Source organism: Homo sapiens, chromosome 9, assembly GCF_000001405.40.
Source record: "Homo sapiens chromosome 9, GRCh38.p14 Primary Assembly".
Taxonomy (NCBI): Eukaryota; Metazoa; Chordata; class Mammalia; order Primates; family Hominidae; genus Homo; species Homo sapiens.
Window position 1 is genome coordinate 101,212,116 of NC_000009.12, and position 14,179 is coordinate 101,226,294.

At 38.2% G+C, this 14,179-nt stretch overlaps 1 protein-coding gene and 1 long non-coding RNA gene across 5 annotated transcripts in view; one reads left to right on the plus strand and one right to left on the minus strand.

Annotated features, from left to right (window-relative positions):
• PLPPR1 (phospholipid phosphatase related 1) overlaps window positions 1–14,179 on the plus strand; it is a 296,409-nt gene that overhangs the window by 183,389 nt on the left and 98,841 nt on the right. The gene's annotated exons all lie outside the window — the stretch shown is intronic.
• LOC105376183 (uncharacterized) lies at window positions 4,607–11,639 on the minus strand. 3 transcript variants are annotated; one of them, XR_001746861.2, is made up of 4 exons: window positions 10,048–11,639; window positions 9,438–9,585; window positions 7,071–7,206; window positions 4,607–4,780 (listed from the first exon to the last, which is right to left on the minus strand). It is a non-coding gene; the product is annotated as an uncharacterized LOC105376183 (long non-coding RNA). The 3 variants fall into 3 exon arrangements; XR_001746859.2 differs by having other exon boundaries at window positions 9,438–11,639; XR_007061703.1 differs by having other exon boundaries at window positions 7,071–11,639.

Genomic DNA, 14,179 nt, shown 5'->3' on the forward strand with positions numbered 1-14,179 from the left:
TCTGTCACCCAGGCTGGAGTACAGTGGTGTGATCTCGGCTCACTGTAACCTCTGCTTCCTGGGTTCAAGTGATTCTCCTGCCTCAGCCTCCCTAGTAGCTGGGATTACAGACATGTGCCACCATGCCTGGCCAATTTTTGTATTTTTAGTAGAGATGGGGTTTCACCATGTTGGCCAGGCTGTTCTCAAACTCCTGACCTCCAGTGATCTGCCTGCCTCAGACTCCCAAAGTGCTGGGATTACAGTCATGGGCCACCACTCCCGGCCACATCTTTTGCTCTTCACTCACATTCCGTTGCTTTTGAGATGCCTTCTCTTCCCTAAAATCTGATAGTAGTAAATCAAAATGCCAGCTATATACAGAGTAACATACATGATTCCAGAAGATCATAATAATAATTGTCAAAATATTTGCATATTTTATCTTATGGTAAATGTAATTTCCAACATCATTCTTCTTAGTACAATAATGAGTCCAGTGATCAAACTCTTGAGAGAAAAATGCACTGTTGTCAGTATATAACTATAGGTTTCAGATTATATAAACAGGTATTGTCAGATGTATATTCTCTGAGTTATCAAGGATCATTGTGTAACTATATAGGAAGTTGTCTTCTTTGAATATGGTAGACATATCTATATTGAAAGGAATGAGAGATATCTGTAACGTGAGGATTGAGTACAAGTGTATGATGATGTTGTCAGTTGTAACACGTTTCCTGTGTAATTCTCTTCCTCACTGGTAATAGCTTGTTGAGTATTTTTATCTAGAAGTGCCACTCAGTTTGCCCTAGAGTATTTTATTTCTTTTATGCCAGTCATTCTCATTCTTCACTGTTCTCTGCCTGTTGTAGTCATAAATAGTTTACATAAATTAACTTGTTTTAGTCCTTGTAACAAGCCTATGAAGTGAATGCTATTATTGCCTTCACTTTACAGATGAGGACACTGCAATATAGAGAGGTGAATTAAATTGCCCAAGATGATTATAGCTAATGGTGAAACTAGGGTTCAAATTCATGGTGGTTTTATTCCTATCTAATAGTCTACTCGATCATTCCTTTAATGCAAACTTACCATTCTTCTACAGTTTATCAGAATTTTTATAATAGTTTAGCCATTTTTATACCTCTTCAAACCTTTAAACATTTGATCCATGTTAGTTACTAAATCAAGAGCTTATTTGAATATCCAAAAATGCATAACATAGTTTAAGTAAGCAACCAGAAAGAGATAAAATCCTTAAAAATACTTTTTAAAAGCACTATATTAAATTCAAAATAAGGAATCTGTTTAAATTTCATATTATGTGGAAATTCTAAGGTTATTAAAATAGTAAAAGTGCAGAAGCATATAAAATTTGTAAATACATTACCTTTCTGTCATTTTTCAATGTCAACTTTATAAATTAAAAGGTATGGTTTAAACATGGTTACTGTGTGCTTTCATGTCCATTATCTGGAGCAATCATGGGAAAACCTATGACCACCTGAGTCTTTAGGATATATCTTAGCATTTTGTTTATAGGATACTCTTTATCAATTCCTACTTTATACCATTTGGTTTGCAATTCATTTTTATGATCCTTCCATTCCTCCATATTGCCAATCAGATTCTAAAGCTGATGTTTGGTACTTAACAAGGAAAATACACTGTGAAAAAAACAGAGGGAAACTTAGTTTAATCATAAGCCCCTCAAATGCAAATGTATCATTGTCTTAATGTAATTCACATAAGGTTAAATACTGAAAGAAATAAAGGTTATAATTGAATTAAATAATTTCTTTCATCAGTATTGTATCCCTTAATGCAAACTTCTATGACTCCTTATATTCATAGAAAGAACCAGGAACATGGGTCAGTTTACAGAGAAGTGTTTGGCTACAGTTCTGATCTCTGAAGAGAATGTGCAATTCAGTCACTCTTGACTGCTCTGTAAGGCCTCCAGAAAAATCTGTATAAAGAGATGGATGAGGTGACAAGACAGATGCTGGTAATAAAAAAGGGAGCTTAGGGATTGCTATCACTGAAGGACTGAAGGACTGAGGATTAGGTCAGAAATATTTTTGTTCAAGTCCATTCAAGAATCAATCACATTCTGCAGGAATGCTGGGGAAAATTACAATTTGACCTGCTACAGAGGTACCTTATATCCTTGAATAGCTCCTTATACTTCAATAAGCTTAAGTACATCATGGCACTGCCAACATATTCTAACTAGCTAGCACATACCCAGCACTTTGTCATGTCACATTAATTTTTAGAGGTTTATTATATATGTGATAGGTGTGTAGATATATACACATGCACACACACACATATACACACACGTGAATGTACTGTGTAATAAAATCAAAACGCCAGTAGTAAGTATTTTAAGACAAAAATCTGGAGCTTAAATTTTCATTCAGAAAGTCATTAAAAGTTGTTATTTTTAACTTAAATGATAAATATTCTAAAGAACATTTTGCTCAATTGAGAAATAATTCACACCTTTAATTCTATCAGCATTATTCATTAAATTGGTTTGGAAGTCCAACCCTATGCTCTCAAAACTAAACAAAAATAAACATTGGAAAGAATCAACAAACTATATTACTTTATAGCTTGAAAAGCTAAAGGAGGGGTCAGGTGCGGTGCATCATGCCTGTAATCCCAGCACTTGGGGAGGCCGAGGCAGGCAGATCACTTGAGGTCAGGAGTTCAAGACCAGCCTGGCCAACATGGTGAAATCTTGTCTCTACTAAAAATACAAAACTTAGCCAGGCATGGTGGCAGGCACTTGTAATCCCAGCTACTCAGGAGGCTGAGGCAGGAGAATCACCTGAACCTGGGAGGCAGACGTTGTAGTCAGCTGAGATCACGCCACTGCACTCCAGCCTGGGTGACAGAGTAAGACTCCATGAAATTAAAAAAAAAAAAAAAGAAAGAAAAGAAAAAAGCTAAAGGGACCAGATAAACTCTCCTGAAATTTTATGTTTGTAATAGTAAAGTTATTTGAAATGTTAAAAGAAAAACTTTAGTCAAACTAAATTTAGCAGAGTTTATCTGAACAAAGAAACAGTGATTTATGAATTGTCCAGTGCTCAGAACCAGGAGAGGTTCAGAAAGCTTTACCTAGCAACGTAGGCAGGCAGCAACATTGTGCTACCTGATACTAGGTCTTTTTTTATTTTTTTTTGGAGACAGAGTTTTGCTGTGTCTCCCAGGCTGGAGTGCAGTGGCACCATCTCGGCTCACTGCAACCTCCGCCTCCCGGGTTCAAGGGATTCTCCTGCCTCAGCCTCCTGAGTAGCTGAGATCACAGGGCGTGCGCCACCATGCCCAGCCAAATTTTTTATTTTTAGTAGAGTCGGGGTTTCACCATGTTGGTCAGGCTGGTCTCTAACTCCTGACCTCGTGATCCCCCTGCCTAAGTGCAGGGATTACAGGTGTGAGCCACCGCGCCCAGCTGGCCTCATTCATTCTATCTAACTGTACTTATGTACTCATTTAATCATCCTCACTTTATCTTCTCCTCCCTGCTTCCCTTCCCAGCCTCTGGTAACCATCATTGTACTCTCTATCTCCATTAGCTCATTTTTCATTTTTTTTTACCTCTCACGTATGAGTGAGAACATGTGATATTTGTCTTTCTGTGCCTGGCTTATTTCACTTCACATAATGTCCTCCAGTTCCATGCATGTTGTTGAAAATCACAGGATTTTATTTTTTTTATTGCTAAATAATATACCATTGTGTATATATGCCACATTTCCTTTATCCATTCATCTGCTGATGGACACCTAGGTTGCTTCCAAATCTTGGCTATTGTGAATAGTGCTGCAATGAACATAGGAGTGTAGCTATCTCTTTGATATACTGATTTCTTTCCTTTTTGATATATATCAGCAGTGGGATTACGGGATCATATGATAGTTCCAATTTTAGTTTTTTTGAGGAACCTCCATACTGTTTTCTGTAGTGGTTGTACTAATTTACATTCCCACCAACAGTGTATGAAGGTTTTTCATTTTCTCTACATCCTTGCCAGTATTTGTTACTGTCTGTCTTCATGTCCTTGCCAACATTCATTTTGCCTATTTTTTGGGTAAAAGCCACTTTAACTGGTATGAGATGATATCTTATTGGAGTTTTAATTTGCATTTCTTTGATGATTATTGATGCTGAACACTTTTAAAATGTAACCGTTGGCCATTTGTATGTCTTCTTTTGAGAAATGTCAACTCTGATCTTTTGCCCATTTTGATTGGATTTTTTTGTTTGTTTGTTTTCCTCTTGAGTTGTTTGAATTCTTAGATAGACTGGTTATTTGTACTTTGTCAGATGGGTAGTTTGTAAATATTTTCTCCCGTTCTGAATGTTGTCTCTTCATTTTGCTGATTGATTCCTTTGCTACTCAGAAGCTTTTTAGATTAATGTGATCCCATTTGACAGAGCTGTTTTAAAATTCATTTACAAAATGAATTTTACAAAAGCAAATAAATTTTTTGAAAAGAAACAGAAATTAGGAAGAGAATCTGCCCTTAATGGCACTTAAGGTACTTACATCAGTAAATAAAATACAAAGCTGAAGTAGGATTTGTCAACATCAGCACCATTGATATTTGGGGCCAGATAATTTTTTATTGTGGATGCTGTCCTGTGCATTGTAACATGTTCAGTAGCATCAGTGGCCTCTACTCTACTCATCAAATGCCTGTAGCACCTTCTCCTTCAGTTGTGATGACCAAAAATGTGCTCTTGGTAGAAAATTTACCCCTGGTTGAGAACCACTGAGCTAAAGAACAAAAAATAGAATCAGAAATTAATGAAATATGTTGAAAAGCTCAAAAATTGACCAGTTATATATAAGAAATTCATGTATGGTAAGGTAGGCATTACTAAGCAATGAATAAGGAAAATATTTACAATTGGAGTTGTGATTCTCAATTTTAAAGTAGATTAGCGTATAACCCATGTTTAATACTATACATTAAAATTAATGCTGTGAATAGAATTAAATATATGAAGTAATATCATTAAAAATAACCAGAAGAGAATAGATTCAACTGTCTGATCTTTGAGGTAGTAATTATTGAAAGAAATTATCTGAAGATTCTATCACATTAAAAAAAATCACTGCCCTGCTTAAAAAAAAATCAGTGTTTTGACATGAATGTCATAATTAAAAAGGGAAATCATAGAAAAAGAAGACATTTGAACCTATTATAACAGATTTAGGATTAAACATATATACCAAGGGTTAGCAAACTTTTTTGGTAAAGGGCCAAATTATAAATGTTTTAGGCCTTGTGGGCAGGGACAGTTTCATGGACTTGTTACCTGCACTTGGTTGAAACTTCTGCTGTCACTGTCTTAACATTCCCATTAATTGTTTAACAAGGGGCTCCACATTCTCAATTTTTACTGGACCCTGTAAATTATATAGTCACTTCTACCTGTGGGCCATACAATCTCTGTTGAAACTATTCAACTCTGTGGTTGTAGTATGCAAAAGCAGCCATACATAATACATAAATGAATGAGTGTGGAAGTATTCCAATAAAACTATAAAAACAGGCAATAGACCAGGTTTGGCCCATGAGCCATAGTTTGTTGATTCTTTGTCTATATGATATAGAATGTTTATAGAAATTGAAAATAACCATATATTAATGAATTGTCCAACCTCAATAATTCTTAAACAATTGCCTATTAACAGAAAATGACTACTGAAATAATACAAACTTAAAATAATGATAAATTTCTATATTAATAGAATCATGATAAACCTAGTATCTCAAGAAATGCTCACTCCAAGCATAATTTTGGAAAACATTTGAAGAACACATTTGAAGAATTATTTAAAAAGACACTTACCCTTTGACTCAGTAACTTCACTCCTAGGAATTTATCTCAAAAAATAAATCAAAATTAGAAAATGCTATATACATGACTAGATTCTTTTAAAAGATGAAAAACCAAAAACCACATAAATATCATATAACACAAGTATGCTCAATTCAAGTACGATCTATCAATTTTATGGAAGAATACACTATTCTTGATAGTATATCAAGAATATGCTATCAATGTGGATCAAAAATGATCCACATTGGGAATATGAGATAGCATCTTGGAAAGTGTTTTCAGTATTCTGTTAAGTGGAAAGAATAAGCAATAAAGTCTGTCGATGCTGTATTTGCAATAATATAAAAACTATTGTATGCATAATGATAAATATTGGAAGAAACCACAGAGGAAAGAATCAGAATACAGTCTTTGAGTTCCAACTCTGACATCAGTCTAGTTCTGGGTGGGACATGTGGCCACTCCTTGTTTGACAGAGCACCACTTGACATGACCCTGAGCAAGGTACTTGACCTATGACTCAGTTTATTTTTCTACAAAATAGATGTAGATAACACTATACTCCCTATCTCATAAGGATGTGACACTTAAATGAAAAATATATAGGGCATAGTGCAGTGCTTTGCCCATAGTAAGCTTTCAAATGGTAGCTATTATTGTTATTATTACTATTTTTATTAGCAAAGCATGGGAAATTAAAAGTTTATTTCATTTTTAGTTCAGCTGTTAACATGTTATTTGTGCAGTTAAAGAAACTTCTAACAGCTGTCTTTTAAAATGTAATGATTAAGACTACAGCAATCTTGGCAGGTAGCAAACTAAAACCATTAAAACACGGATAATAAAAAGACTATTATAAAGATTTCACCAACAGAAATGGGAAAAGAATTACTGGAATGCTTTCAAATAAGTTGCTAAGGAAAGTCACAGAGACAATTAAAATGAGCACAGGGAAAAAGGTAATGAGCGGTGATAATTAAAGCTGCCACCAGATACATATACACATGCACACTCACACACATCTATATGTCCTTTAGGGAAATTGACTGAGTCAGCAGAGGAACAGAGGAAAGGATAGTTTTTAAACCGGCCATGTCATGAACACGCTCCTCCATCCGGCTTCTCCCCTACTGTGAAAGGGGAAGAGAAGTCACACAGCATCAGCATTAATGCTACGGAAGCTTTCTGTTAAAGCTTGTCCTTGCCTTTGTCCTCACCTCTCACTGTAGGTGGATGGGGCTCCCAGACACCATGTAGATAGATGGTCCGTGGAGGTTCGCAGTTGGGTTACTTTAAGCAATTCTGCCCCAAGTGTAGGAGGTGGGTACATAACACTGAATTCACTCCAGCTACCTGGTACGTGAGAAAAGAAGCATTTAATGCTGAAATCTGGAAGTATTCTGCAACTTCATGATAATTATCCTTGTTACAAAGGGCCAGATTATGATTTATAGGACCATCTCACCTTGTTGCTCTCTATCTAGGAATATCTGTTAGACTGAACTAGGCAGTGTTCTATTTCCTCGCCATGCCAGAATTTGCAAATTCTCTCAGCACAGAGATGTATGTGTATAATGTTTGAGTATAAAACAATATATTACCTACAGGAAGTCAGTAGATCGTTAATGATATTAAGATGTTCTACTTGTGGTATCAAATTCTCAACATTTTGACTGTGCTGCTCCTCATAATACCTAAAGATGCAGGGAACATGCTGTTCTGAGATTATGTCTTGCTCCATACCCACCTGGACAGTATTTATCCTCTTGTTGCTATCCTGCGATCAGTTCTAATTGGGTAATCAAGCTCACACTTTCTAGAGCTCCCTAATCTATGCATTACCTCAGCTGGGCTCTTAGAACCTTCATTTACTCTGAAATTCACAGGTAGAATGCTCATAGCCTTGGCAGAGAGCCAGGGAATCCCTTTGTTTTGTCCCTTGGTGTTACCGTCTTATGTACTTGCTCATCGTGCCAGTGTCCTTTTTTCATTTCCCCATAGTATTCTGGCAGAAATAATGGAAGCCTCAACTGGAGCACTTCACTGACATCAGTAGATGTGTTCTCTAGATCTGGGTTTCTTTGGCATTAGTGATGTTTGGGGCTGGATAATTCCTTGTTATGGGAGGTTGCATTGTGCATCATAGGATGTAGAGCAGTATCCTTGGCCCCTACCCACTAAATGCCTTGAGTTGTAACAACCCAAAATGTCTCCAGACTTTGCCAAATGTCCACTGAGGGGCAAAATTGCTTCAATTGAGAACCACTCTTCTAGATGATACTTCTATATGAACTTCTAACCACTTTTATGTTAAAAATGTCATTTAATTGAGCACGGTGGTTTACATATATTAACTCATTATTTATCACTTCAACTATAAAAGGATGTTATTAAATCCTTTCTTTCAGATGAGGAAATTGAGGCCCTGCCAAGTGTTACACAGTTAATAAGCAGCAATATCAGGAAAACTGTTTTCAAACTGACTGCTTTACCTAATCTTATAGTCCAGATGGATACAGGCTTAAGATAAGGCTTGATCCAGCAGTACAAAGACATTAAATATGGACTTTATCCTCTCACACTCCTCCCACCTAATTTAATTTCTTAGCTCCCTTTCTTTATCCTCATGTTTCACCCCTTGGCCTAGCAGCTCTAGACTTTCCTCTTGTGGTAGTAGTTCATGTCATACAGCTTCATATTACCCCATCCAAAAAGAAGGCACACTTTCATGGTAGCTCCACAGAAATTTAACTGTTTTTCCTCTTAAGCTCCAGAAAAATATTTCACTGGTTCTCATTGAGTCATATGCCCATCTCTGAACCAACGGTTGCAGCTAGAAGGTTGAACATGTTGTTGGCTTTAGCCAATCAAGGCTCTACCCTGGAGCAAGGCATAGGGTTAATCCCCATCAAACGATATAGCCAAAAGTAAGGAGAACTGGTTTTTCAAAGTATGTTAGAACGATAATCCCAGAAGATGAAGAAATGGATGCTGGGTTGAGGACAAATAACATGCTTCTACACCAATTTTGTTAACAATGTTAACATGACTCCTACAGTTGATAGTTTTTGTTAACACTACCCCTCTCCCTGTTCTATTTTTGCAACTTTACCATAGGCCTGTTTTCTTTTTCTTTTTTCATAAGGTATTGCAGTACAGGCAGTATTAGGTTACATAAGTAAGTTCTTTAGTGGTGATTTGTGAGATCCTGGTGTACCCATCACCTGAGCAGTATACGCTGCACTGTATTTGTTGTCTTTTATCCCTCACCCCTCTCCCACTCTTCCCCCCAAGTCTCCAAAATCCATTGTATCATTCTTATCAAAGGCCTGTTTTCTTTGCTTGACATTGCTGGAAACTCCTTGAGATAAGTGTCCAGGGACAGCCCATTAGTCAGTAAAGAACAGTATGGTGGACCCAGATCCGTGGGTCCTACCCTGCTCTTTGGAGAGGCTTCCCCAGCTGGCTCCTATGGAATGGCTGGAACCTCTGGCTCACAGGGACTCCCTGAAGGGCAGAGCCAGACTGACCCCCTGCAAGTAGTACAGCACTTCATTCTTCAAGGGGAAAAGAAAGGAACTTACCTTTTTTGAGCACTTACTGCATGCCACACCAGTCACATACACCATATTATTTCTTTCTACAACCACCCTGAGGTAGGTATTGCCACCGTGCTTTAAAAACGAGGAAATGGAAGCTCAGAGGTGAAGTAACTGCCCCAAATCATACCACCTGCAGGAAGCAGTACACAGGTTTGAAATGATGGCTGTTTCACTCTGAAGTGTGTGCTTTTTGTCTCCAAAAGTGAATATCTTAGAAGAATATATATTTACAGAGAATATACATTTGCTAAGAATTTGTTACTTATCAAGAAATATGCTCAACACTACTTGAATAAGACAGAACTCAAAGCCTTTTCTCTTTTTCTGAGGATTAAATGAATGGAAGAAGGAAAGAAAATAGGAAAAAGAAATTCCTTGTATAATGAGAGGATCCTTAGCTGTTCTAGTAGTAAAGAGACCATGTAGAAAATCAGCATCAACATATAACAACAACAGCATCTATAGCAATGGTGAAGCAAGTTCTTCACTAGGAGAGCAATGCATGACTTCTTTAGGTAGTGACACCAAGTCCTCAGAGAAATATAGCAGCAGCTGGGGCAGCCCTGCAGCAACTTGGGAATTGAAGTAGCACCTGAGAAACTGGGGAAGCCAGCAGTATGTATGACAGTCCCATCATAAGGCAACTCAGCTCTCCCCTCAGGTTGGTGTGTCCTAGGGGAATTCCTGTTAGATGATGTGCCAATACACACCAGCATGCTTTTTGCTAAAAGGCAGATTCTGCAGTCTACCATTTTTCCATCATATGTCTCAGAGAATATGGGCAATTGTATGTGATGTGGCTTGTTCTACAGATAGTCTAGAGCAGGAGTCCTCAAATTGGGTTCTGCAGAGGGCTAGCCTTCTGAGAGAGAGCCTTAAAGATGGTATGAGGTGGGACCAGGAGGCAACCTGTGTGTTTTTTCTTCACTGCTTCTCCTAGGGTACCTCCACTTCAGCATGTTTCTAATATTTGAGTTCTATGTAAGATTGTGTCTGTGAAGGACATTTTACACTAACAAAGATTTAAAAGCCATAGTCTCAGAAGGAAGTACATATCTGCCTCTGAAATGTCTAAGTTATCTGAGAATGACAGGTCTTAAAACAGTATGGAAGTCAACAGCTGTGAAGGACACCAGCTGTTGGTGGCAAGTCTCTCCTGAGTTTGCATGGGAACAGTAGTTTGTTGGTGTACAATAGTGTCGGTCACGACATTCTAAAAATAGAATTTGTGTGAGACCATTCATCATAAAGCAAACCCCCGCCCCCGCCATGATAGTAGATCCTTTATTAATTCACCCACAGACAACAGGACCTATAATGATACATTCTAAGTAAAGCACCAGGACTTTAAGTGTTTTGGTTGTCTATCCCAACTAGTGACAGTGAAAGAGGCTACAGACTACTTCTCTCCCAACCTACCATCTAAGAGTATGAAGAAACGCATTTAAGAAATGGAGTGGGGCCTGGTGCAGTGGCTCACACAGGTAATCCCTGTGCTGTGGGAGACTGAGGTGGGAAGATTGTTTGAAGCCAGAAGTTTGAGACTAACCTGGGCAACAAAGTGAGACCCATCTCTACAAAAAAAAAAAAAAAAAAAAAAAAGAAAAGAAAAATTTTTAGCTGGGCACCATGGGATGAGCCTGTAGTGCCAGCTATTTGGGAGGCTGAAGTGGGACAATTGCATGTGCCCAGGAGTTTGAGCTTGCAGTGAGCTATGATGGTACCACTGAACTCCAGTCTGGGTGACAGACTGAGACCCTGTTTCCAAAAAAAAAAACCTTAATTGGGGAAATCGTGCTATATTTTGAGATAACTTGAGTTCCCCTGGGAAGTGATGAAATGGCAAATGTAGTGTAAAATCAAACATCCAGTCACTTTAGTTGTATCAATTTAAAGAAAATGATGTATGAATATTGATATGGTTAGGCTTTGTGTCCCCACCCAAATCTCATCTTGAATTGTAATCCCCATAAGCCCCATGTGTCAAGGGAGAGACCAGGTGGAGGTAATTGAATTATGGGGGCAGTTTCCCCCATGCTGTTCTCATGGTAGTGAGTGACTCTCAAAAGATCTGATGGTTTTATAAGCATCTGGCATTTCCCCTGCTTGTACTCATTCTCTCCCCTACCAACCTGTGAAGAGGTGCCTTCTGCCATGATTTTAAGTTTCCTGAGGCCTCCCCAACCATGCAGAACTGAGTCAATTAAACCTCTTTTCTTTATAAATTACCCAGTCTGAAGTATTTCTTCGTAGCTGCATGAGAACAAACCAATACAAATATATATATATGAAGTACATATATACATTATATGTGTGTATAACCAAACCAGTACTTCATTATTGTAGAAAACAAATAGTTTTTAGTTTCTTTTTAAAATGTGTCAACATTATGTAATAATATGAAACCTCTGCCCGAGTTCTTCTCCTGTTTCAATTAATGATGTATTATAACATATGGCTTGATATCTGGTGCTAAATCTCCCCCATATTATAGAGATGGAATAACAAGCCCTCAAGCCTCCCTAGGGGAGCTATTGTGAGGAATAAATAAGAATATTCCACTGTGCCATAGTCTCTGGCAATTGGCAATGTAAGAAGCTGAAGAAAATAGAAAACTTCTGCAAAAATGGACATTCTCTACAAATTTGGGTGAAGGTCTTTGCTTTTGTTGATGATTACACACTAACAATGATTTAAAGTGCTCTGCCAGAAAATAGGGGGGATGCCAGGATCATATCCAAAAGATATGATCCACTATTCAATTTTGAACATTCATTTTAGTTCATGGTGGGGAACAATTAAAAGCTTCCATTTTGATGACTTTGAATTTGTTTCCCTTCTTTTCACTGAACTCAAAGTTAATGATGCTCTCGGCTGCTGTCATTGAGTCTTTCACAGAGTGTTTTATTCCTTCCTTATAAAGTGGGCATCGTGGTGACGGTTTCACTTCGGAAAGAAAACACACTATGAGCTCTGAGTGCCCTGAGGCCTAGGGTTGGGGTTTATAGACACAATGGAGGAGATCTGAGGGTGCAAAAAAGCTGTGCAGCAGGTCTTCAAATAACATTGCTTCATTACAATGTTGATAAGGAAAAAAAGTTGATTACTGGTCAGTGCCACAGTCTGGCTGAAGTTTGCATGCTTTCTCCATGTCTGTGGGTTTTCTCTGGGTACTCTACCTTCCTTGCACATCCCAAAGCTACGCACATTAGGTGAAGTGGTGTGCTTATGTGGTCCCAGACTGAGAGAGTGGGTGTGGTGTGAGTGTCCCTCCCATGGGATGGCGTCCTGTCCAGGGCTGGTTCCTCCAGTTGCTGGGATGAATAATATCAACCCTCAACCCTTAGTATATAATTAGCTTTTTATTAATCTTTCTTAAATGTATGTATAGTTCACATTTATTGCAATGCTTAATATTAAAAGCATTTTGATATCTGTCTTTGGAACTTCGGTGATACTTTTATAGCCAGAAATGTGCCATAGGAACTTAACTCCAGTTTATATTAATTAGCCTATGGTAAAATTGGCTTTGTTGTACGTCATTTTGCTGAAAGTCACAGTTTCCAAGATCTGAGGACTTACCATGTTAGCATGTTTGTTAATTCATGCATGTTACCATGAATTTGTGTTTGTGCAGGAATCTGTCATTTGGACTCATTTAAGGAATGAATTTTGCCAGCAATTCCTCCTTAAGTGAGTAGGATCATTAAGTCAATTTCTTTAGAATACATGACATCTTTAATGTTTCTTATGGCCCATTTGTGGAGTGAAATATTGCCACTGCTCACACTGTGGCTTCCCTAAAATAGCAGGCACCGCAGATGGATTTAACGAGAGCCATGCCTCACCTCTCTGTGCAGGGCTGACTGGCTCATTCCAATTCCACATAGCTCACCCAAAGCAAGAGCTGGTCCACTGCCATACAAGGATTTACCCATAAACTCCTGTTTCCCAGAATTTCTTAACCCAATTGCAAAAACTTCCTGTGCAGCTGAACACGAAGCGGGAGCATGCAGTGAAAATAACTCCAAATGAACAAAGAAAGAAGGACCCAAAGCAGTCAGAATGAGTTGGTTTTGAAATGTCACACACCCATGCTTACACATTGTGTTCACTCTTGGAGGCTTCATACACTCAGTTAGCATTATCCCCCCGCCCCCCACCCCACCACCACCCCCACCCCCTATGTAACCAAGAAATATAATTTAAATGTGTCAGATACTAGAGACAGCGATCTGGTGGATCATTAAGATGCTTTGTAAAAATGATAGATCCTTTCCTATTTTACCAAACCAGTTGTCAATATTGAGGCTTGGAGGATGTTTAGGATCAACCCATCAATATCCCTTATTTTGCATCTGGAGAAACTGAGGCCCAGAGAGATTAAAGTCATTTTTCGTAGATCGTACAGTAAGTAAGTGAGAAAACTGAGGTCTGACCTCATGTCTCCTGACTCCCAATTTAATGTTCTTTCTACAGAACCAAAGAGCCCATGGCTTATTTTCATCACTTTTCAATCTAATTTCCTGAGCTTACCCTCCTGACATGATGGTTTAGCTGCTTGCACTATGAACAAGTGTCATGGTAGCTTTTCCCAAAGGTGATTTTCCTGGGAATCCCTTTGCTTATTACAAGGAGGCAGAAAAAGATTTTGAGATATTAATTTGTGCACACACATGTATGTGTGTTGATTCCCCTCCCCCCTCCTCACTCATCCCATTCCA